General features: G+C 40.9%; 1 protein-coding gene across 10 annotated transcripts in view, besides 2 other annotated features; it reads right to left on the minus strand.

The window, feature by feature from the left end:
• PPP2R2B (protein phosphatase 2 regulatory subunit Bbeta) overlaps positions 1–26804 on the minus strand; it is a 500779-nt gene that overhangs the window by 279062 nt on the left and 194913 nt on the right. For 2 of the 10 annotated variants that reach the window (NM_001271900.2, NM_181674.3), the window contains one exon: positions 18199–18392. The exons of 4 other annotated variants lie outside the window; for them this stretch is intronic. In NM_001271900.2, coding sequence (NP_001258829.1) covers positions 18199–18392 — 194 coding nt within the window. Of the gene's footprint in view, positions 1–18198; positions 18955–26804 lie in introns of those variants that run through there. 4 more of the 10 variants (NM_001428277.1, NM_001271948.2, NM_001428279.1 and 1 more) reach the window with 3 other exon arrangements.
• Positions 18925–18956: a tandem repeat, named in NCBI's record as "protein phosphatase 2 regulatory subunit Bbeta repeat instability region".
• Positions 18926–18955: a repeat instability region, noted in NCBI's record as "repeat instability region; expansion of the (CAG)n trinucleotide repeat (CTG relative to the plus strand of the reference genome) is associated with spinocerebellar ataxia type 12". NCBI's record gives the evidence for it as "EXISTENCE:Southern hybridization evidence [ECO:0000078][PMID:10581021]".

The following is a 26804-nucleotide window of genomic DNA, read 5'->3' on the forward strand; positions in this document are numbered from 1 at the left end:
AGGTGCCAAGTCTCTTGCTTGTCTACATCAGAGAGTAGAACGTGGCCTATGTATAGATTAGAACATCAGGGAAAGGAGGTAGTATGAAGGACAGTTTTGTGTAGGGAAAAAAAAGAAATTCTATCTGAAGTTTACCTTGGAGAGATGAAGAAAATATGGTATTTAGCACTATTAAGTGTTTTTCCATCTTATTGGAGAGATTCAACCAAAAGGTATAAGAGCAAAAACACAAAAATCAGGAAAACAATTTTTCTAGTGATTTTACCTTTATCTTGGACTATGGTTTCCTCTCAAGGTATCTAGCAGATTAAAATTGCTTTGTGATGTGGCACCACCATCCTGCTTTTCCTTTTATAGCTCTCATCTTAAAACGTTTTACAGGTCCACACAAACAGGTAAAACAAAAGCCATCATGCTATTTTAAGTATACATTTTCCCTGGGCCTATCAAATTTAGAAAAGCATATTCACTCTTTCAAGTTGCTAGTTGTGGCTTGAACTGATTGCTTGATTAATCACTCAAACTCTGGCTCTAGACCATCTTACCCATGTTCCCTTTTCAGTATATCAAAAACAGAGGTCATGAGATTGCTTAGATCATGAAACCAAGAAAGGAAATCAAGCCTTTGACACAGAAAACACACCACACTTTCTAAAGCAAGATCATCTTATGAGTGGATGGTAGTATTCTCCTATGTTTCTCTGACAAAATGTACCCATACTCTGTCTTTAACAGCCTCATTGCCATACACTACACTTGACCTGCTGCCCCATATGCAGACCTCTCCAGTAGGTCCGATAGTCACTAATCCACTGACTAAACATTTTAAAACTGGCTTTGGCAAAACATGCCAGAAATTCCTTCAGGGTAATTAAAACCACCCTCTGTGTCAATAAACACAGACTGAAATCTTTCATGTGCAGAGGGGCTGGCTCTGACCCACTGGCTCTAGGACATTTTTTCTTAGATGAGTTTTCCATCATTGCAATTGATTTTCACTGACTCATCCAGACCGTTGCTCAGTCCCCTTATAAAATGATTGGCTGAGATCAGAGATATAGTCTTAGCTTTCTTGTCGCAGCCAAGACATAAGGACCAAAGGGGCTATAAATCTAAGGGCCAGGCTCATTGCTAAAGCCTTTTCACCCAGATCTTCAGGTGACAGACCTTAAAAAGGATTCTTGCTATAGAAGCTGACAGTCACAGTGTTCACTTATCACTCCTCTTCCAGCATTCAAACTGAATTTTTTCTTTTTTTTTTTTTTTTTTTTGAGACTGAGTCTCCTCTGTCGCTCGGGCTGGAGTGCAGTGGCGCGATCTCGGCTCATTGCAACCTCTGACTCCCAGGTTCATGTCATTCTCCTGCCTCAGCCTCCTGAGTAGCTGGGACTACAGGTGCCCGCCACCACGCCCGGCTAATTTTTTTGTATTTTTTGTGGAGACAGGGTTTCACCGTGTTAGCCAGGATGGTGTCGATCTCCTGACCTCATGATCCGCCCAGCTCGGCCTCCCAAAGTGCTGGGATTACAGGTGTGAGCCACCGCGCCCAGCCTAATTTCCTATATTTTTAGTAGAGGTGGGGTTTCACCGTGTTAACCAGGATAGTCTCAATCTCCTGACCTCGTGATCCACCCAGCTCAGCCTCCCAAAGTTCTGGGATTACAGGCGTGAGCCACCGCGCCCGTCGTCAAACTAATGTGTCTTCAAAGTAAAAGGAAGAACTCAGGTGAATATTCGCTACATTAATTCCCAGAGACTAGTCACATAGCAGACACTCCATGAATTGTTTCTCACCACAATGGCAGCCTTACTGTTTTTATTATATAAACAATGTATATATTTATTTAAAACTGTCATACATTATAAACAATATAAAAACAGTAGAAGTTACCTAAAATTTCATCAGCCTGAGTTATCAATATATTTTTGTTGCCATTTTTCCATGGAATTCTTTGTCTATACAAATAAAATTTTATATAAGAGAAATCATACTTTACATACCCTTTTTATCATGGATGAAGCTACCTTTGACTTTCTTTAAAATACAGCATTGTTTTTTTTTTTTTTTGGCTTGCTGCTTTCATCCCCCTCATAGCCAATATTAATAAACTTTCACATAATTTTTCTTATTGATATTATCATGTAATAACTCATATAATATGAATGAAGTTTCAGTTGCTCAGTAAATACCTGCTGAATGGTTAAAGAGTGAAAGAACACACGCATAAACACGAGTGAATGAAAGAATAAATAATCTATTATGATCTTAATTAGCCAGTACAGTTTCCAAGTGATTGCAGAAATCTCAGATCACATCTTTTGACATCTCCCCTGCATCTTTAAACTTTAGTTGGGGTAGGAGGACCTGGCTTTACCTCATTCAGAGGGACCTGCAAGTCTAAACTCCCAAGAAAAGAATATGTAACTGGCTGCTCTCCTAACTACAGAAATGCTGTTAATCTACTCTCAAATTGAAATCAAATTCAAAAACCATTACTAAGCACCTGTGTGCCAAGAACCCTACTGTCCTTTGTATGGTAAACTAGAGGGAAAGATGTGGTCACTGCCTTCTTGGAGTGTCTGTCTTGTTGGGGAGATGACGTGCAGGATCTGTGTCTTTAGATCTAGCTGTCTGAACTTGGACCTCAGTTGCCACATTCGTGAAATGGGGAAAATATCTATAAGCTCATAGGATTGCTGTGGTGATCAAACAACTTGAGGAATTCAGGAAAAACTTCACAGGAAAATGTGGACTGGAGGCAGGCCTTGCAGGTACCAGGGAAGGGGAAGCAGGAATGGCCTGGAGTAGTGAGGACCCAGCACAAGCCAGCCTCAATGCTTTGAAGATCAATTAGGAGAGACTTAAAAGATGAGAGGACAGGCAGGAAACATGAAGGTTTATAAGCACAGGAGAAAACTGTGAACAGACTAATCTTCTTAAAGGGTCAAAGAAAAGTAAATTTTTTTTTTTTTTTGCCTTTTCAGCATGTGCCAATGTCTACATCAAGGCCATTCATATGAGTGACTCAAAGGCAACCTGCTTGTCAAGTAATTGGAAAAAAAAAAAAAAAAAACCCTGGCTTACATAATGGGCTCAAATCCAAGTTTCTAAGACTTATAGGAAAAATTCTGATCAGAAAATTTCCATCTCAAATTGTGCTGAGGAAGCTTGAGGACTGAGTAAGCATGTTGCCAGCTGAAGTACAATACGATAATCAGACTGCTTTTGCTTTTTTTTTTTTCCACAGTGCACAGAGATTTGTAGGTCCTGGTGGGTGCTTACCAAGTTTCTGATCTCTGACCCCAGAAGGGGTCAGAGAACCTACAGAAAAATACATCTTGTTCACAAATGGAACTGCACCCAAAACTTTCCCTCTATATCCTATTAAGTGACCAGAAGGTCTTGACTTCTAAAACATAGTATGTCAGTTTCACCCAGGCTAATCCTACAGAATAGGAAAAGGGATTAGAAATTAGTCATTGCAGGATATGTCAGCTGGAAACACTAAACTGTCCTAATCTCTTCTGATAGTTCAGGGTTCTAGGGAAGCTCTTCTCTGCCTGTCATATCTTCTCCTTTTAAACTGGCACCATTGATGAGTTCCAGTTTGCATGTCCCTACAGATCTGCGCTACTCTAATTAATCCCACCTACCCTTGGCTCCAAGACAGAAGAGGAAGAGGATGAAAAGTAGATTTTAATATTGCACCCCCAAATCTCCATTGAAACTTGGAGTTTCTAGAAGATGCTTTAACACTTTTAGTCCTCTGAGAAGGCAACTGGGTCACCTACTAACCACCACAAATATTTATCCATTCAACTGCCCATCCATCCATCTATCCATCCATCCATCCATCCATCCATCCATCCATCCATCCATCCTTTAAATTTTATGTGCTTATCCTGCGTATAATTTTTAAAATATTGTATAAACTTTTTTAAATTAAAAAAATGCCTCAAAGAGCTTAATATTTTTATTTCAATAACCCAAGACACTTCAAAGAGGAAGAATGTTCTAAATAAATACTCAGGCTAAATGAATTGAGATTTCACACCGACTCCCAACTGTAACCCCCAAAGACTGCTGAAATGCAGACAGCCAATATACTTTGAAAGTGGACTAAAAATCGCTCACTGAAAATATGGACAGAACAAAAGTGGAAAAGGGCCATAGCAATTACAAAGGTATTCCTTGGAACAGCGATTTTAGAAGGAAATTTATTCCTATCATCTAGAAACATAATTGTTCATACCATTTAATCCAGTAATCTTGCCTTTAGAAACTTGTTCTAAAAAATAAAGACACGGTTTAGAGTCATGCCATTATTTATCTATTTCACAATTATTACAGCAATATTGGAAAGAATCTAAACTTCCATCATTAGGTGGCTAGTAAAATTATGGTTCAACTATAGAATGTTAACTACAGTGGTAATTTATAAGATTTGTACTTTTTATTTAGATTAAACAATAGTGCCAGTTTTGGGAGAAGACTAGAGATGTCTGGAAGTCTAAAGTCATTGATAGTTAAAGTCTAATTTTTTTCAGATTTGCCTGGGTTCAAATTTCATTCAACCACACATAGTATTAACCAAAAAAAAAAAAAAAAAAAAAAAAAAGCACAGCTTTCCGAAATGTCAAATTTGTACCCCATGAGAGACTAGCTCATTAAACAACCATACTGGTTGTCATACTGGGTCAATCATTCTTTGAAGTTACCTACTCACCAGTTTGAAGAAAATTAACATTTCTGGGTCACCAGGTTCCATATACTCATCTACAAATGATGCCCTGGAACCATGAAAGTAATTTTATTTAATATAGGTGGGCAACTGAATCCCAGGGTACAAACTACTCACCCATGTGCTTAATGGCAGAGGCTGAGAATTGAGCCTGCCTCTCCTCTCAGAAAGGGTCGAAGTACCTGGAGCTTTGCGGGGTAGAAGGGCAATGGGATCAAATTAAAATTCAATGGCTGTATCTTTAAGAATTTTTTCTCTGATCTTCACCCCACATAAGTTTCCTAGGATAAACTTAAGCACCTTGAAAATTTGTGACAATGTGAGGTGGAAGCAAAATATGGATAGAACAAAAGTGGAAAACGCCTACAGTAATTACAAAGGTATTCCTTGGGATAGCCATTTTAGAAGGTAATTTAGTCCTATCATCTAGAAACATAATTGTTCATACCATTTAACCCAGTAAGCTACTTTTAGAAACTTGTTCTAAAACATAACCAAAGACATGATTTAGAGTCTATAACATAACCAAATACATTATTTATATATTTCAGAATTAGTATAGCAAATATTGGAAATAATCTAAACTTTCATTATTAGGCAACAGGCAAAATTGTGGTTCAACTATAGAATATCATAGAAAAATGCTAACAGTTTGTGTCTGGGGCAAAAGCAAACAAACAAACCCTATAGATGATGTTGTTTTGCATAGAATCCTAGCATTCTCCATTCATCTCTCTCTTTGTCTCTGACACACACACACACACACACACACACACACACACACTGAGCCTGGAAGGAAATATAGCACATCAAAAATGTTTATAATGACTGTCTCTGGCACAGCTAGAAGTAAATTTGATTTTCTCTTTTAGAATTTTCTGTACAGTCAAAATTTTCATAATGAACATGTACTTTATTCTCTTAAAGGATCTTCCTTCTTTAACAGGTTTCATATTCATATTCACGTGTGTTTTTTAACGTATATATTCCCAATAGAAGGCAAGTTCTGTGAGAGCAGGGTCTACATTTAATTTTTAAATATTTTATACCTAGGTTTTTTAGCACAGTGCCTAATATATAATAAATGTTTTTAAAATAACTACTGAGTGAACTATTGGACAGACACTGATTAGAAGGGATATGGCTATGTGTGAGGACTCTAATGAGCTGTCAAACATTCATTCCATTACATCTCTAATCTCCAGCTCACTTGTTAAAACAACATGCCACCTTCCTCGCATACTTTTGCCTCCTAACATCACACAAGACTCTGCCTCCAATGAGGAAAGCCATTGCCACCCATCTCTACCTGCCAGCATCCTACCAAGGCCCCACCTCCCCACTTAACCACTTCTGGTGAGGTGAGCTTCCCTCTAGCACTTACTGCAGCCACTCACTTAGACGATTAATACTGTTTGGACCTCTATTAGGTTCCCGGTACTCTTCTAGAACAGGGGTCAGCAAATGATGGTCTACAGGCTACTCCTTGATTTTGTAAATAGAGTTTCACTAGAATACAGCCATGTCCACATACTACAATGGAAGAATTGAGTAGCTGGGACAAAGGCTGTATGGTCAGCAAAGGCTAAAATACTTATCATCTGACCCTCTACAGGAAGAGTTTACTGATCCCTGCTCTAGAACATCGACATAATTTTACAAAATGGAGATAATACCAAAGTTTCATTCTATTAGAATATTCATAGGCAATATGAGATCCAAAGTATATGTCCAATAACTTTGTACAGAAAAATTATTGTATTGTACGTCAGTTTGCTCTTAATAACATATATTTTTATGTCAGACATACCTGCATTCAAGTCCTGGGTCTGCTGATTGATACTGGGAAAGATGACACAAATTCTCTAAGCCTCAGTTTTATCATCAGCAAAGTAGAAATCTATTTTCTCTTTCACTCCATAAGTGTGTAATGAGTGCTTTTTCACCAGATACTATACTAGGAGATGGATAAACAATGGTGAATAAGATCTAAAGTCTCACCTAATTCAGCTCTAATTATACATACTTTTGAGGGTTGTGGTGAAGATTAAATTATATATATATACACACACGCAGATACATACATATATATACACACACATATATATGCACACAGAGGCATCTATATCATATATACATCATATGTAGTATACCATAGATACATAATACATAGTATATCACATAGAGTACATCCAGAATACTTAACCTGATTCCTGCTACATTGCAAGCACTCAGTATATAGTGGCTCTTCCTCATGATCATAATTACAGCAGAAGTCCTTTTAACAGACCTCCAAGTAGCTGACACTCCAAGAAGAAAAAGTGCCTTCCATTCTTTCTGTAAAACAGGCCTACAACATCCTTTATAAGTACTCACAGCTAATTGAGTAGACTAATCTCTGGTACATAGGCAAACTTCTGCTCCTTCAGGTTGAGTTGCATGTTTACTGAGAGTCATTTGTGTTTGTTTCCAAATCTCCTGATGCAAGTTATACTTGTTAGTTAATTAAATATCATGAAAGGTAATGAGAAGAATAGTGTTAAAAGGAGGATGATTGTTTCATATGAAAAGTCAGTTGAAGAATTTCAAAAGACTTGACAAAGCATTGTCAAATTAAAAGTAGGAGATATAAAAATTGGGGAACAATTACAAAAATCTAGAAGTATTCTGTAGTAAGATTGCTTCTGCGATATCTATGGTCTTGTTCAACCTCAAGGAAATCAAAATTGGGCATGGTCTTTGTCATTTGGGGGACAGTTCATGCAAGAAAAATATTACAACCCCTAATCAGCAGATCCATACTCAAAGGTAAGGTCTTGATTCTTCATCGGGCCTTTCATTGAAATTAGTAAATTTAAATGGTATGTTATTTTTTATGACTCCTTGCCTTAACTTTTCAAGTTTACTGTCAACTATTGGTCCCAAATGCATGGAGTAGAGAGGGAATCTTTTGTATTTATTTATTTATCACATATAAATAGTAACATGTTGCCTCATCCCCTGCCATATTTTTGTTGGCAAGAAAACACTCAGCAAGATGAAGTGACCTGCCCAAGGCCACAGAACTAGCATAGCCAGAGGTGTGTCTAGAGCCAGGTGGGCTCTGATTCCACCACTTCGGCCACCTCATGATAACAGAGAGATAAACAGGACACAGTTTCACGCACCCTGGCTTCTGTGGTTAATTATATTTTGAGAAGGACGGAGTGTCACCTGCCCAAATAGATGGAAAGACATTTGAGAACAAGACTATAGGCTTATACTTCACCATATGCCCCAGAACTTCCTACATAGCACTTGGCAATAAATAATTTTTGTTTGAATTGTTAAATTTTCTTTCCTACTTTATAATAGTGGAAGAAATTGGGGCCTTCCTGGTTTCTGAAAAAATTATGCTCCCTTGGAGTTTATAACCCCCACCATGGAGTATAAAATAACAGGAGAGAAATTCTATTGTGCCTGTCAGATCATGTCATTGAGAGCTTAACCTCATTGATTGGCACTTGCTCTTCCCCATCAGTGTGGCAAGATGAGCAGCACCCTGCTCACCAGATGGTTATTTGTTCCACCAGCCACCTTTGCTGAGTCCCTGATTCACTCCAGCCCAGGACTGTCTCCAGCATTCATGCTGCAAGGCAGCTCCTGCCAACAACTTTGCCAAATGGCTCCTCTCAAAGTCATGGCTGCCCAGACAGACTGGCTCCTCCATCTGCAGCAGCTTTTGGCAAAGAGAAGTTTCCCTTTCTGGCTCTGCCTCTTGGCTGCACCAGAACCTTCTTGCCAGAAGGATGATTTGACCCAGGAAGTACAGCCAGACCTGGAATTTCTGGGGTCATTTAAAGCCTATGGCCATGTTTTCCCAGTCTCACCCCTGAGGTGAACATCAGAACATATCAAAGAGACCTAGATGATCACAAATACAGAAATAATGCCTCATAGAAACTGAGAGTCAGAAAAGTCTGTAGAGAGCATGCCTTCCCTCCCCCATCTTCAACCTCATTATAGTAGCTTAGGAAACTGAAGCCCAGAGAATAAAAGTGACAAATTATGGTAGCAGGACTGGAATCCTACCCAGGTCTTCTGATGTGCATTCCACATAACTGCTTACGATACTGCATTGCCTTTCCATTTCCCCCCAGTTCATTTTCAAATCCTTGGTAGAAATTGGACCCTTGTATTGATTGATTCAGAAGAATATTTTTTAGAAAAATGAATCATCTTTTCCCTATCAACATCATAACTGTTCTTTTAAACAGGTGTTCATATACTACATTGTGATGAATTTTTGCCAAGTTTAAGAATACAGGGTTTGGAATCAGATAGACCTGGATGTGACTTCTGTTCTACTCACTGTTGTGTAACTATGGACTAGTAATCATATTATTCTGCTTTAACTTTTCATTTAAAGGGGGATAAGAACAGTATCAGCCTATACAAGTAAACTGGATTACATGAGAAAAATACTTTAAGGCTCTAAGCCTGTACTGGTGCACAGAAAGCCCTCCATAACTACCAGCAATCATTATTAATTATTAACATTCAAATCCACAATGGTTTTGGAAGACACAGTACTGGGCACATATGAATAGGTAGATCAGGTATTCTCATTCTCTACATTAGGAAATTCAGGTTCTTGGTTTAAATGACTGATCCAAGGTTACACAGAAAACAAATAGAAGACCACAGATTTCTGATTTTTTCTTGCCATTTTGCTAAGAAATGGGAACTGTCATCTCAGCTTTAAAGATAATAAAATCAGGAAGGAGGACATTTAAACAAAAACACATATACACAGATAATCACTGCAGCATCTTATGTAATATAAAAGCTGGAAACGATTTTCTATCCACAGGGAACTACTAAATAAACTGTGGTACTGTCATACTATGGAGCACCGTGCAGCCATTAAAAGGCATGAGACAGATGTAGGTGTTCTGATATGGAAAAATCTTGAAGACGTATCACTAGTAGAAAAACAAAGTGCAAATAAAACGGGCAGTGTGTACTCATTTATGCAAACATCCTCCCCAACTATATATCTGTACATGTATATTTAAATGTATGAATAGAAAGATGGCTCTGAGGAAGTCTACCAACTACTGATAATGGTAACCTTTGGGTAGGAAAGTGGGATGGGCATGGGATGGAGGGTGATTCATGCTTTATTTACTTATCATGCTTGAATCCTTTTAAGTAAGAAAGAATATAGTATTATTTGACTTATAAATAAAAACATAAAGGCAGAGGGAAATGTGAATTATAATAATGCAGTTGGCATGAACCAACAGACCTCCCAACTTGAGTGTCTCTAGCCCTAACCTGACTTCTACAAAGCTACATAAGCAATGTTAGTTTCACTGAGTTTCCTGTGTGGCTCTCCCACTGTGGTAGGGTCCTTCCTGGTGGTATTTTGTACTTAGGGACCCAAGTTCTATCTTTCAGACCACCTGGGAACTCTCAGCAGCATCTTGCTACAATATTCCCTATTAGAGACATTTACAGCTTTGCCACCCTCTACACCCTTGTGTGTCTGTAGAGGGACATCAAGCTGATCCTTCTACGTCAAGTGGAGGAGGCGGCCTGCCATTCTTTGACCACTTCAGGTTCATTGCTTAGCAAGGATTCATACCAGTGTGATAAGCAATGCTTGATGGAGGAGGTTTTCAGTTCCCCAGTGTTATGGACCAAATTGTGCCCCCCTCCACCCCAATCTATATGTTGAAGCCCTAACTCCTATGTGACTGTATTTGGAGATAGGTCCTTTAAGGAGATAATTAAGATTAAATGAGGTCATAAGGATAAGGTCTTATGGGGCTGGTGCCCTTGCAAGAAGAAAAAAAAATGCCAGAGATTGCGCTCTCTCTTTTCACACTTGCACACAGGAGAAAGGCCATATGAGGACCCAGCAAGAAGTTGGCTATACATGGGAAGAGAGAACTCACCAGAAACCAACCATGCTGGCACCTTGATCGTGGACTTCCAGACTCCAGAAATGTGAGAAAACAAAATTTCTGTTATTTAGGCAACCCAGTATGTGGCGTTTTTAAAAATGCAGTCTGAGCTGACTAATACACCAAGCACAAAGGCCAGTACACCTGAAACACATCCTCCCACAGGTAAGGTACTCTTCGCCACGCTCCGTCCAACAGACCCCATCCTTCTCAGGTTAAAACCTGTTCATAAGGGCCCCTCTAGATTCCTAAACTCCATACATCTTTTTTCCCCTTACACACAGACCCCCACCCCACTTCATTTAACATTTGTTGTAAGCGATCAAGTCATTTACCTCTAAAGCACAGAAGTGAAAGTCTGACTACCCCCATACAAGCACACACCCTTTCTCATTACCCAGGATGACCCTTTCTCCAAAGAAAGCTATGAACATTAACAATTAATATTTCCCACTATTAACTCTTTCCACAGTGAACTTGGAGCAGGAGAACTCAAAGGTTCCTGGGTTATTTCTGACAAAGTTCCTAGTGGACTTATAAAAATAATCTGTGCTTTCTGCGAGATAGTTATGTTGGGGCTGACTTTCAGCCTGATTCTAGAGTTCTATTGGAGTCAAAAGAAGGAAATTTGGTGGTAAAGATGACAAGTTGGGTGAAAGCAAAATCGTCTTCTTATTAATGGAAGATGAGGGGAACCAGCTGGAGAGCCACTCTGGCCAAAGTGAAGCCTCAGACATCTACATATTTATGTGCAAAAGAACATCTGCCATCCCACAGCTGCCTCCGTCATATTTCTCTTGCTGTGGCCCAGGCAACTATATGAGTTGTCATGAGCTGGGAAGAGTGGGTGCCTAGATGGCCCAGCGGGACCATCTCAGCTCAGCTCAGTCTGGGAGCTGCATGCTTACTGTCCTACACTGGGGATGAGTGACATGGAGAAAGCTATTCAAAAAACTCCAGCTAGTTCTCACATCTTGATTGCTCAATTCCATAAACATTTTTTTCTGTTCTTATTATATAACAGAAGAAATCTACAGGAGTAAGTCAGCTAAGAATTCTGTTACTGGGTCGTAGAATTCAGCTTCCTCCCTGTGGGATAATGGAAAAGGCCCAGAGACGTGCACTGCTGTGCTAGGAGAAGATAGATCAAGTAAATCCAGCAGCACCGACCAGGCGCCAATGGGATATATGTGGAGGGTGGAGCACAACTTGCATTTCTCCAAAAGATCCTGAGCAGCATGGGTGAGCAAAGAACATGTGCCAAGAATCCACACAGTCATGAGCTCTAATCTGGTTATGCCACTTACAAGTGAGTATGTTTGTAATACATGTGTATTTGTTATGCAAGTTCCTTTGGTTCTCTGTACCTTGAAATTTCTTATTTTAAAAATGAGGTTAATGCAACCATTCTCTCTGGGTTGTTGATGGAGATTAAATGAGTAAACATAAGAAATACCTAGGAAAATGCCTGGAATAGACAGTACTCGCGATACCTTAGTTTCTTTCCCTCAGCTAAGTGTCGAAATTGGACCCCTATTTCTTCTTAAATGCAAACGCCAAAGTCTAGGAATGTCAGTCTACAGCTGTGCTCTTTTCATTGGGCATTACCAATATTTTGACAGGACTGGCCTAATATTATTCACCCCAGGATCATTGGTACATTTCTGACCAGCACTCATAAAGGGCTTGGGATTGCCCCTGGGGACCTGGATGCTAATAATGAATACTTGCTAGTGATTTTCAATGCATTCTGGTTATTATGTTTAGTAGCAGAACATTTCCCATCCCCAGAAAGGTCATTTACAATAGTGTAAGGCAGCTACTTCTCACCTCGCATTTCAGGTTTCTCTGAGAACAGCAGAGAGCTCAAACATTCATCCATATGCATTGGAAACAGCATTCTGATCTGGCATTTGCATACAAATACCAAAGCAACTTAAGGAACTATGAGGCAGCTCTCCATCATATGACACTACCCCCTTTTATTTTTTCAATGCCTTCCCAGCATCTTCATATCAAAAGCCATTTTCATGTACCTTCCCAGCTTTATTCATTATAAGTTTCCCCTTTCTTGAGCTTATTTGGAATGGGGGATGGAGGAGGAATCTTTACTTCCTCACTTTTACTCTCTGTGGCCCTAAAAAGCTAATGTATTTCACAAATCACTCAGATCTCAAACCTGGAGACGTTCTAAACTCAACTCATCCAAGACTGGACTCTTCTTATCCTACCACATTGCTGAGAAATGGCCATATATTATAGTATTACTTGAATAATATCAGTGTGTGGTTATTTATGCTTACCAAGGCCCTATTCTATTGTGAGGTACTTTTTTGCTACAATTTCTTCATACCAAGCCAAGATCCACTTCCTTGTACTTTCTCACTCATTGGTTCAAATTTTGCCCTGAAATGTTCTTATCTGAGGCATCTCATCTATTCATACAGTTTTAAGTACCTTTAATATGCTGGTGATGTTTAATCTCAAATTTATTATCTAGTCCAGGTCTTTCTCTTGAGCTTCAGACCCAGAAATCCAATTGTCTACTTGCAAGTCTCACTGTGAAACTAGATGTCTCACTGTCTTCTCAAACTAATCAGTTTTCAGTCTGTTTCCGCTTTTAGTGATGCGCCCCATTATGCATCCATTTTCATGGCAAAATTCTGGGAGTTGTCCTTGACATCACCTTCTCCATCTGCACCCAATCATAGTAAGTAAGTGCAATGCAATCTTTCTCTATTACGTATCTTAAATCCATCTAATTCTCTCCATCTCTACTGATGCCACCATCCTGGAGCACACCATGACCTCCTAATTATCTCCCAACTTTCATTCTTTTTCATTACATGCCTGGCTCTCTAACCCCATCCTACACAGCAGCCAGATTAAACTTCTAGAAAAACAAATCTGATCATGTTTCCCTTTTCCTTAATGGCTTTCCATTCATCTTTGGATAGAGTCCAAACTCCTTGTGGTCAACAAGGCTTGATATGATCTGGTCCCTGAATACTTCTCCAGTCTTTTTTTCCCCCAACATTTTATTATGAAAATTCAAACAGACTGCAAAGTGGAAAAAAAATTACAGTGATTATCCATAGACCCACCACCTCAATTTAGTTATTAACTTTTTTTTTGAGATGGAGTCTCGCTCTGTCACCAGACTGGAGTGCGGTGTCGCGACCTCGGCTCACTGCAACCTCTGCCTCCTGGGTTCATGCGATTTCCTGCCTCAGCCTCCTGAGTAGCTGGGATTACAGGCATACACCACCATGGCTGGCCAGTGACTAACATTTTATACTTGCTTTATCATATGTCTATCCATTTACCCATCCCTCTCTCTTAGCATTAATCTTTCTTGCTTCTGGTACATTTCAAAATGAACTGCAGACTCCATTCTCATTTTTATCACTCTTCTCCCTGTTCCTAGCCATAGTCATCTTTCCATTCCTTGAATCAGTTAGGCTATTTTATCTCTCTGGGCTTTTGTACCTATTGTCCCTTCTACCTAAAATGCTTTCAGGTCTTGTTAATTGCAAATTCATCCTTTAGTTCTCAGTTTCAGCTGTCTGAGAGGCTGTCCTTGAACTCCCGATCTAAATTAGATCCACCTTTCCACCTTATGACCCCAAGGCATCTTGTGCCTTTCCTAAATATCACTTATCACAATTGGTAACTATATATTTATTTGCAAAATTATTTGTCTCATACTATCTCCTTTGCTAGATTGAAAGATCCCTGAGGACAGAGACCACGTCTGTATTGGAACATCCCGTATCACCTCTGCAAAACGTCAGTATTTGTTGAAGGAATTAAAGGCAGAATGAATCAATAATTGAAAGGAGCTACTTGGAATAGTAAACTTGTTCTTCCTTTAATATGTATAAACAAGACAGTTTTTTAAAAAGGCTTCTGAGGGAAGGTGGAACCCACTTGTTGCCAGAATATAACCAGGAAGTACATTAAGTAACAATAACAGCTATAATGAATTAAGGGTGGGCTTTGTATTAGGCATATCCCGAGTGCTTGAGTGCTTTCTCTGCATCAAATAATTTTTCTTTGGCATAGGTTCTATTGTTATTCCCACTTTCCAGCTAAGGAAACTGAGAACAGAGCAGTTATTTTAAAACACCCCATCTATGTAGAATATTTGGTCTATCTGTGGCCCCATTTGAAAGTAGGAAGATTAATCTAGAAAACTCACAGACTGCTATAATGGAGATAGGGTTTTACTTGGCTGTAACAGAAGCCTAAAAATATAGCAGGAAACCCACATATAGAGAGATTTGAGAGATGAATCCCTGGTTAGGAAACCTGGGGTTCCATATCTGAAAAAAAAAATCAAACCATTGTGTTGACTTTATTTTTGTGGGAAATTTCAACCCTACCCAAGGCCCTTCCTCTATATAACCCCATACACACACTTCAAATTTTCCCTGCAAAGGATTTTATGCCTGATGGAAATATAGCTTATACACTGAGATAAAACCATTGCAATCTTTCCCAGAATAAGAGCTGATGGTTAAAGGAAAATGAAGTAGTGCAGAATTTCCTAGTGGGAGAACCTGGCCTTCAGACACTGGCTTGAGTTTGAAGACAAGGTTTTCCATTGAATGTGTGACTTTTGGCAAATTAGTAACATCTTCAGACCTCAGTTGCATCAGTTTCCTTCTTTGAAAATGGAAATGACAACATCCATTTAACAGGGTTTAGATATATTGAAATGCTATACATAAAGAGCTCAGCACAGTGCTTGGAACATAGAAGATGCTCAAAGATGTTAACTTTAAAAGAGGAGGAAAGGTAGGGGAGGGTGGTAATTTTCATGCTCAGAATTAAAAAAAAGTCCTAGGAAATTTATTTATTAAATGCACACCATGCATTCTTTTGAGAAAGACAGAGAGAGAGAAAGAGACTGAGAGAGGGGAGCTTGGGTGAAAGTGTCCTTTAGCATTTGCATTGCTCTTAGCTGGATGAACTTGCCTGCAGTCACCACTTACAATGCAAATTGAGTTTAGAGTCCTTCACACTAACTACACAGCAAAAACCTTTCAGCTTTAAATAGAACACTGCAATGTGGAATGATCTGAGCAAACAGAAGAAAAATTCAGAAATACATGTGAAGGAGATATTTTGGAGGAAAAAAAAGAACAATCTGACATAACTGAGCAGGTAGGAGGAAAATGTAGAAATAGTAAAGGAAACAGAAAAGCAAGATCTATGGAAGGACTAGAAGCTAATTCCCCACCCAGTAAGAGGGTATAAGTTAATAAGGGGGAAGAAAACTTGTGGGGCAAGTCCCCAGTGAGGAGAATTTTTAAAAAGTCTTTTGATCTGGTGCTTTTTCAAGGTATACTAACACTTCTTAAGGAATTCATTGGAAGAACAGGGACTCTTCCCCCTCTGGCAACAAAATTGCATGAATCTTCCCTGAAACGAATAGGTCAAAACTGTAGGGAACTTCTTGTTCTATCCAACTTCTGGTATTTACATCGTTTAAGTTCTATTTTCCTTTTCTTTTCATACCTTCTCTAAGATCAGATTTTAAAACCTAGAAGCTTCTGTGAAATAAAGGTTTGTTAGTTTTGAGTGTGATTAGTATGTGTGTGTGTTTGAGAAAGAGAAAGAAATCTGAGAGGTTGATTCTCACATGCCAGAAATCTCATTGCTATAAACTCATATCTATTTTTGACTATGTGAACCTAGATATTCTATCCAGAATCAGAGTTTTCAAAAATGGAATAAAAATAAGAACAACGGTAATATCCAGGGCCCTGAAAACAATAAAGAATGCCATTTTTAACTGATTTCTTCACTTCACAATTGACACTCCTGTACACATAGCTCCACTCTGGGCATTTTCTCAGCTTGCTAAGTTTCTCTTGCCTGCATAATGTAATATACAAGAAAACATGAAGGCAGCTCTCTTTCTTTGTGGTTACAAACAGAAATAAATGTTCCCCCAAAAGCCAACAGACCCAAGGCCAACTTCTCTCTTGGATGACATGCTTAGATACAGAGTTAGTCATGTGCTATCAGGTCACTGAGTCAGTGACAAAGCACTAAGATTGAGGGAGAACATCTTACAATCAGGTTGCCATCATGCACAGAAAAAGAATCGGTAAGTATGGTGCTCTGTATAGGGGAGGGATGGGCTGCACATCTTAAAAGCCATCTCTAAGCTCCTGGAAGCCAGAGCTTACAACTCTGCTTTATCTGTCTAGCACCATGGGCATACTGGGCTTGATGCTCTCCAAAAATGATGACAAATGGAGAATATACTTTCAATAGCACTGGACATTCTTTCTGTCTAGAACTTCCAGGGATGTTTATAGAAGATGCCACCTTTACCCCCAGATGTGTGTGTGTCTTTTTATTTCTTTCAGAGCTTGAACTCTTTTACTCCCCCCATCACATTTCTCTAGCAGTCTTTTGATTTGATTAAATATTACAGAAATGTTAGCATCCAAGAATAATAATTTTAAATTAATACACCTTGCAACATTGTCCTAAAGCATTTCCACATACATTTTCTCGCATGGATATTACAATGTGATAATGCAACACTTTGTATGAGTGGCTAAGGATAAAAGGCCTACAGGTAGAAAATGAAAGCAAAAATGCAAAAGTTTTGGCACTGGGGGAAAAAAATGCCTCTACTCTCTATTCACACACAAAAGGCAGAATGAGATTCCACCTGCTGACTTTCCCTTCCTGCCCGCACAGCACTAGTGCTTATGTCAGAACAAGCTGGGAGAGAGGGAGAGACGACAATTTCACCTCTTGGCAAAGCTCAGCTTGCTGAACCCTTTTGCTTTCTGCTGGCTGTTGATTCAGCAGAAACTACTGCTGCAGAATTCATAATGGTGATTTTTAAAGGCCCCACCGATCGCGTTGCTCACCCCACGTGTCAGCCTCATTCGCTGCCCGCCAGAGCACTATTTCCCCAGCCACCTTTTTATTTTTGCTAATGCACTTCCAAAAGGAAAGAGGTTCGCCCGTCTGCAAAGGGCTTTTTGGGGTTTTGATTGTCTAAGCAGGTAACCTGGCCGGCCGGGGAGATGAATGGGCAGGAAATGAAACCTTGCCCTCCCTGCAGCCACTGAGAGACATAACATCGTTTCGCTCAGGGAGGGGGGACCAAGGTCCTACTGGGCCCCTCCCTTCTTATCTCCCCCCAAGACCCCTGCGAACATCTCGGGGAAGGGGTCATCTGCCTTCCTGGGGTCATCTTTCTGGGCGAGAGCCCCACCCTGAAAAAGCCTAATCCCTGAGGGCCATTTTAACTCCCGTGGGCGCCGGGTCCACCTGCTGCTGAACGCCGAGCTCGCCTCGCGGAGCCCGGATGGATGCGAGGTGCACTGGGGCTGCCGGGGCCAGCCGAGCCCCCGCCCCAGCCCTAGGGCCCGGAGGAGTCTCCGCCACTACGCGCCCAGCTGCCCAGGAAGCACAGTGATCCGCAACTTGCGCCCGGCCCCAACGGCGGAATGCGGCGGGGCTGGCGTTACCTTCGGTCGCATAGCTGTGGTCGCGCAGGAAACTGTTGTTGATTTTGCGGGTATCAATGTCCTCCTCCATTGACAGCAGGCTTACTTGCGTGGGAACCAGAAGCCGGCAGACAAGTATCCATGATCCCTCCCCGCAGCCAGTCTCACAGGAGAGGGGGGCAGGGGAGCCAGTGGGACTGCACCATGGTCCGAGCCTGAGGAGGAGACGGGGAGGCGGAGAGAAAAAAAATAAAAACCCGGCAATGGAGCTGTCACCTCCTCCACTCGGGTTCTGCGAGGCTGCGGCGGCTCCTCCCGCGCGGTGCGCTCACTCCAGCTCCAGTTCCCAGCGAGGATGCTGCGCCTGCCTCCGCTGCCTCCGGGTGCCAAGATACGCCGTGCCCCGAGGGGTCTGGTCCCGCCCGCCCGCCCCGGAGGCGCTCACAAGCGGGTCTGGGGAGATGCCCAACAGGTTCCCCTCCTTGGCAGCCGCTCCAAAATGCAAAAAAGATCCCTCCTCCCCCTGGGAGAGCGGGCAGCCGCGACAAAATGGTGCCTTTCTGGACCCGAGCTGCAGTGGCGAGATGGCAGGGACAGGATTCAGGCTTGCCTGGCCGGAATGAGGGTGCTGGTCCCACGGGAGGGCGGCTCCGGCAGGCGGGGGTAGGGAAGCTGGCGGGGAGCTGGGCAGGGCGCTGCAGCCGGCGCCAGCGCACTCACCCTCACACCCACACGCGCGCACTCGCAGCTGCTGCTGCTGCTGCTGCTGCTGCTGCTGCAGGAGGCTGGAGGCGGCTGGTGCATTAAAGGCGAGGCTCCTCCCAACCGCGTCAGCAGCCCCACGACTCTTTCCCAGCAGCAGTGGTGGCCGAGGCAGAGGCTGCGGCTGCTCTTTGCTGCAGTGGGGCGCATGCAGCCGCGAATCGGCACCTGGGCAGCAAGCGACTAGCTTGCAGGTTCAGGTGGAACGCATAGACGCGCTCTTCCAACCTCCTCCCCTCTCGCGCCACTCAGCTAAGGGCCACGTCTACGCTAGCACCCAGAGCCCCTAGCTCCCTGCCTTTCTCCGGACGCCTGAACTTGAGAACAGCAAAGAGAAGTAGGTTCCTTTGGATAGTCAGGAAGTCTACATCCAGGTCCCTTTTCCTCACCCTTATATGATGCATGTGGTCCCTTGGTGAATTTAAAGGGCGAGGTTTGGGGCTCGAAGCTTCAGAAAAAGAGGAGAAAGTGGGAAGTGCCGCTCAGAGCCTATCTTAAGCCCTCTAGTAGGAATAGGAGGGGGATCAGGGGCCAGAACTTTGCAACTGGTTCCCCCATTCCTAAGAGTCAAAATACCTTCTAACTGTAGGAGGCTGGTGTTCAATAAAGCATCTGTGTCTACACAGGTGGAGGAAAGCACCAGACTAGTAAACAGGATCAGTCTGAAAAAGTCCACTCTCCCTTGCAGTTTGCACTTCGTTTTGGACAAATTATTGCAGCCTCTCCGTTAGGTTTTGCTTGTGCAGGAACACCTTCTATTTGCTGTCAGCATGGAAGGTACATTGAAGCACAGAAACATAAGCATAAGAGCCCTGTGCCCACAGAGAGCCACTGCTACCCTGGGGGAATTTCAGGAGTCCAATTAATACAGAAAAGAGACCTGTCTTCCTACTTCAACTAGGAAGAAAATGTAGAATTCCCTCCCCACCCATGTTTTCCCAAATTTCAAACTCTACTTTTGAAAGAAAATGAGATTACTATTGTTATGAAACAACCAAAAACATTTAATGAAGCAACCCAAATCACTAGAAAGCCAATTTGGAAAAGACATCAACCCCAATCAGTAGAAAGCCAATTGGAAACGACATTTCCTAGGTTTCATCTTGTAGAAGGTATTCATTTCAATGGGTACCACTGTAGGGAGAGACATCAGCAAATGTTTTGCTCAGTTAAGCTCCACAAGTTTAGCTAGATGGGCCCAGAGGGACCTATGAGTTAATTATATACATACAATGCTTCGGCTAACACAATTTAGAAAGTATTTGAAGTTCAGAAAAATGGAAAAACAAGTCCTTAACTGAGGTTGGGAATTGTCATTAGATTTCCATGCAGTATGGATACTTCTGGTAGATAGAAAATGACATCTTCCTCATCTCCAGAAATTGACTGCATATCCCTGGGAGAAAAGAGCAGAAATGTTCCTTGACATAGTTATTTTGTGTGTGTGTGTGTGTGTGTGTGTGTGTGTGTGTGTGTGTGTGTGGTGGGGGGAGTTCAGTTCAACTTTCAATAGATTCTATTTTATTTTCATCTAGTGCTTAAGACTTATACACTTGTTTGTTCAAAATCCACATTTAAAATTTTAGTAACAGGTGAAGACGGGTACAAGTTGATTTAATCCACTTCAGTACAAGTTGTCGTGGCTGGTTCTTCCATGGGATGAGCTGTATCTATCACCGAGGTTCCAACATTCAGTCCTTTTGTAGTTACACATTGCAGCTTCTCTTGGATATTGGCACAATTTGGAGTAGGAGCAGAGTGGGGAAAAGCTAAGTTCATCTCTTAGTGAATCAAAATGATGAGAAGACATTGTGCCTTCGGTTGGAATGATCTTAAAATTGTTTCAGGAGGCCTTGGAATAGTATTTGGGAAAATTTCCCCTGTATCTTTCTGAATCAAGGGCTAGATTGGGACAGAGCTGTGTGATGAATCAGGTAGGCCCAGGCTCATTGGCCAGGCTGTGCTTGAGGAATTTTCCATTGTAACCAATGGGGAGAATGTCCCTTCCACAGATCGAGTCTCTGGGTTTATTTATTTTTCTTTTCACATATGCTGCAAACTTTCTCCTGCATTTATTCAACAGTCCAGGCATTTTTCCTAAGACACATGTTCTGAGAAGGCAGATTGGATAGGTCTCCATTGTTTAAGTAGATTTCAAGGTTTCCATTTGGCCAACTACTCTTTTCTAATATGAGAGAACTAGCTCATCCACCCAAAACCAAGGGGAAAAAAGCTGTTGGCTCTGTGCCATAACACAACGACCTGTGGTGGAGGTAAGGGAGTGAAAAGAGCCCTGTGCACCACTGTGGAGCTGGGGGGCGGGGTGGGGGAGAGAGTGGGGGAGATGGGAGTAGGCTGCAGAGATCAGTCTTCAAAAGACTCACTGGCCACTTCTCTTTTCCTCTAAAATGTCAAGTTCTTTCCAAAAGTGGTGGGCATTTCCGCATGCTATGTTCTTTGCCACTTCCTCATGTCTTGGCATTCAGCCTCTTAACTGTCCCTGCTTCGTTGAGGCATTCCCTGACCACACGATAGTCCTGACTTCCGGTGTTTTCTGCCTCCACATTTTTTTTTTGTCTTTTTCATGTCCTACAGCGTTTTATAATATTTGTTTACTTATTATTGTTGGCCATTTTCACTAGATCTTTTATTTTTATTTTCTTTTTTTATTTTATTTATTTTATTTTTCTGAGCCAGAGTCTCTCTGTCACCCAGGCTGGATTGCAGTGACACGATCAAGGCTCACTGCAACCTCTGCCTCCCAGGTTCAAGTGAGTCTCATGCGTCAGACTCCTGAGTAGCTGGGACTAAGACATGGACCACCACACCCAGCTAATTTTTGTATTTTTCAGTAGAGATGGGGTTTTGCCATGTTGGCCAGGCTGGTCTCAAACTCCTGACCTCAGTGATCTACCTGACTGGGCCTTCCAAAGTGCTGGGATTACTGGCGTGAGCCACCATGCCTGGCCTCACTAGATCTTTTCTATTGACTAACTGTCACTTAGTAGATGCTTAATTATATTTGTTGGAGACAAACATTTCTTAAACAAATGAATAAATTGCTGAATATCTTACTTTAATATTTAGGTTTCATACCTCCCCCCTTCTTAAAATTCATATTAAAATAATCTGTTGTGAGCTGGAAATTTTCTAGCTCATAAGCTGTATTCCTATTGAAATAATTGGTTCGATTTATTCCTGTATGCATATATACGATCAAAATTTACCAAGCAATTATGTAAAGAATTATTCTGGCCAGGTGTGGTGGCTCACACCTGTAATCCCAGCACTTTGGGAGGCTGAGTCAGGCAGATTATGAGGTCAGGAGATCGAGGCCATCCTGGCTAACATGGTGAAACCCTGTCTCTACTAAAAATACAAAAAATTACCCAGGCATGGTGGCACGCGCCTGTAGTCCCAGCTACTCGGGAGGCTGAGGCAGGAGAATTGCTTGAACCCGGGAGGCAGAGGTTGCATCGCACCACTGCACTCCAGCCTGGGAGACAGAGCAAGACTCCTTCTCAAGAAAAAAAAAAAAAAAGAATTGCTCTAGGTGCCAAGGATATAGATTTATATAAAACAGAATTTCTTTCTTCATAGAACTTAAATTCTATCATCTAATTTTAATAACGTGAACTTTCTTAGCAATACAGCAAATGCATTCTATATCGACAGACTATAGTGCAATGTTAAGTGCCAAGGCTCCGATATCATTTTCTGTCACTTATTTTTCTGTCCTCAAGCAAGTTACAAGATCTCCCTAAAGCATCATTTTCTTATCTATAAATTAGGAAAATGAATAGTATTTGTTTCATAGAGTTATTACAAGGATTAAATGAGATAATACGTGGAAAAAATACATTGCTATTACTATGAGTATTTACTTTCGTCATCATCACCATCATCAATGTTCAGCAAATGTGCAAGTACTTAACTATGTCAGACACTGGGATAGGATTATAGATTCAGCAACATCAGTGTATAAGATGTAGTCAGTCTCTGATGTCATGGAACTTAGTGTCTAATTTACAGTTTATGTAAAAGGGGCCATAGTCTTCAAAGGGGGCAGCAGAGGGAACTCTGAAAGACTGACCTATTTCAGGCTTGTGCTTTACATAGAAAAGGCCAATTACAAATACACAGCCTTCTTATGTTACCCAGTTCAGTATTGACAGCATGTGGATACATTCGTTTTTTTAACCACCCTTGTCATGGTCCCCTCCCCCAACACTCACATACCCACTCTTCCTTCCTTAGGCTAATGCTTCCTACACAGGAAACTTTTGGGTCACCCTGTCCAATTAGCACATTAAATATCTATAATTTTATTAAAACCTTTGACCTAAGCCAGTCTGGAGATTCTTAATAGAGGCTTTAGGTGTCAGACAGTCCTGGTTTGTGTCCCAGCTCAGGCATTTATAAATTTCATGACCTTTGGTGAGTAGTTTAACATCTCTGAACCTCTATATTTGCAAAATGGAAGAAAACAATAGTTGCTACTTCACAGGGTTGTTGGGTGGCTTCAGAGGTAAGGAAAGTGCTTAGTCCAGGTTTGGCTCAGAGCCAGCCTTCACTAAAATGACCCTTCTTCCTCCTGCGGTACTTCATGAGATCTCCCACTTGCAGAGAATTGGAGAGATGCACTCCAAGTCAATTGTTCATGTGAACAGAAGTGACCTAGAAACCTCAGTTTTACTGCCTATCAATCTGTCTTAATGAACAATTAGAAACTGGATACATGAAATTTTATCATCTTGCAAAAAGCCCTTTATAAACCATGAAGTCTCCTGCAAATGAAAGGAATCAGGATTATCTTCTCTTGGACTTTCTCATTATGTATGTGCAGACCTAGTCACATTTCTCTATTGTGGAATCATATGGAATTTCTCTCTATGATCACTAAGCACCAATTGCACAACTCTCTCTCTAAGGTGGTTTACGTGCTGTCTAGAGAATGACCTCTTGAATTTCTAGCAAGTTTGCAATTCCTGTTTGTGCATGCTACAACATGTAATGCCACATAAGTGATCCTTTAACGTGGCATTTAATCTGGGAAAAGAAAAGAAAACCTCTTGCCCTCAAAGTGTTGTATTAATTCTAGACTCTGGGGTCTTAATGGATTTTACCATGTAAATGTCTCTGCAACTGAAATTCAAGTACAGAAACTTATGAAAATACACAGTGGTACACTGAAGCTGGTAGGTACTGGCTATTGAGAGCTGATTTTGCTGATCACGTACATGTCTTTCTAGTTCTGCTTTGAGTGACATCATTAACATCAGAAATCTGCCATGGTAGGATATTTATATCACAGAAAATTAAAAAAAAACACTATGTAAATTCAGGGTTTTTTTTTTTTTTTTTTTTTTTGAGAGCCAGTTGTTAAACATTTACCAGCCTACCAGTAGAAACACATTACTTGCTGATGTGTCTTTCCCCTCATCTCTGTTATCGGTGCAAAGTCCCCTCCAATTTCTGTACAATAAATCTCCCAAGTTATGTCAGTTCCAGAGCATTCCACCATTCAACCAAACTTCTGCCATAATGTTAAATAACTCTTAAAATCCTACCTTTCCCTGAGGGTTTCCCATATCCATCAGAGGAAAATTGATGTCGTTGTCTGATCCTTTCCAGGTTGGTTATGAAATTGCCATGGTAGACTTGTGAGTAATTGCTTTTATAGGGCTCCTAGACCTAACAACGTAGGAATGTTCGGTCATGCCCACTCTCAAGGAATCATTCCTTTTGACTATTCAGGTTCTATTGTGACCTTAGTCTTGCCCTTGATTTGCTTCAATACTAAACAAAAATATCTACTGTGCGTGATTTCACTGACAGCTGTTTTACTTGTCTAGTTAGGATATTGATGCAAAGGGAGAAAAGTTACAAAACTCAAGAGTCTAGATCTGAGAGCATGAGATAAAACATCTTCTTGTACCTCTTACCATTCATTGGTTTTAGAGTTAAATTTAGGCTGTCCTGTGCAAGAAAGTTTTAGTTTACAGTATATTTGTTAGGTATAAGGTGAGAATTTCCAAAACCAGGTTAGCAACACTCCAGGGATATACTAGTACCTGACTACATTGCTCAAAGTAAAATTTTAGTATAATTTAAACAAGAATAACTATTGGGAAATGTCTTTCAAACCTTTAAAAAATATACCAAGAAATACCACTTTACAGAATTTATTCTAAGAAAATAACCATGGATGTGGGCAAAAATTTAGCCATAAAATTATTTCTAAAGAACATTGCTTATAATCATGAAAAACTGGAAACAACCCAAATGCCCAACAAAATAATTTGTTAGGCAAATTATAATGAGTTCATATGATGGCAAATTATTGATTCATTTATATAGTAATTATAGCTAACACTGAGCATCTATTATGTACTAGGCACTGTGGAAAGGGTTTTACTTGCATTGTCTCATTTTATTCTAACAACAGCCTCTATACAGTATCATCTCCATTTTACTGAGGCTAATAGAGGTAAATAATATAACCAAAGTCAGATAGATGAGAGCCTGGCGCCAACCCATGATCTGTCTCTACAGCCCATGCTCTTAACCACTGTGATTTGAGCTATTGTGAGTGTGTGTGTGTGTCTATTGCAGTGGGTTTAGGTCACAACAGAATCACCTGGAGGTCTCTTTCCAAACCATTCACCGCTAGATTCTTACTTGTCTCTCTTAGGGATAAATATTCTCTCAGTTGAAAATCACCACAATTGTGTTGGTGAGGATGTGGCAAAAATCAGAACCTTCAAATCCTACATTGCTTCTGGGATTGTATAACAATGCAGCCACAAATAGTTTGCCAGTTCTTCAAAATATTAAGCACAGTTACCATATGACCCAGAAATTTCACTTCTATGTATATATTGAAGAGAATTAAAAGCACGTGTTCCCACCAAAACTTGAACACAAATGTTCATGTAGTAGCATTATTTATAATAGCCAAAAAGTGGAAACAACCCAAAATGTCCATCAACTGATAGATGGATAAACAAAATGTTATATGTCCATACAATAGAATATTATTCAGCTGCAGAAAGGAACGAAGTATTGAAACATGCCACAACATAGATGAAACTTGAAAACATTATGCTAAATGAAAGACACCAGACACAAAAGATGACATATTGTATGATTCCATTTATGTGAAACGTTCAGAATAGACAACTGCTTAGACAGAGAAAGTAGATTAGTGGTTGCCAGGGACTGAGGATAAAAAAAAAAGGGGTGGGAATGACTGCTAAAGGGTTCAGGATTTCTTTTGCGGGTGTTGAAAATGTTCTAAAATTAGATAGGGGCGGCCGGGCGCGGTGGCTCACGCCTGTAGCCCCAACACTTTGGGAGGCCGAGGCGGGCGGATCACGAGGTCAGGAGATCGAGACCACCCTGGCTAACAGGGTGAAACCCCGTCTCTACTAAAAATACAAAAAAATTAGCCGGGCGTGGTGGCGGGCCCCTGTAGTCCCAGTTACTCGGGAAGCTGAGGCAGGAGAACGGTGTGAACCCAGGAGGCGGAGCTTGCAGTGAGCCGAGACTGCGCCACAGCACTCCAGCCCAGGCGACAGAACGAGACTCCGTCTCAAAAATAAATAAATAAATAAATAAATAAATAATAAAACTAAAATAAAATAAAATAAATTTGGAGCAATAGCTACGCAACTCTGAATATAATTAAAAACCACTGAATTGTATAGTTTAAAAGTTTGAATCTTATGGCATGTGAGTTAGATATCAATACAGCTGTTATTAAAGATAAAAATATCATCACCATCATAAACCACTGTTACTTATGGGGAGTATGGAGTATGCTATATCCTTAAGGTATAGCAGTGCAGAAACGCTTAAAAGTA

This window comes from Homo sapiens, chromosome 5, assembly GCF_000001405.40.
Source record: "Homo sapiens chromosome 5, GRCh38.p14 Primary Assembly".
Taxonomy (NCBI): Eukaryota; Metazoa; Chordata; class Mammalia; order Primates; family Hominidae; genus Homo; species Homo sapiens.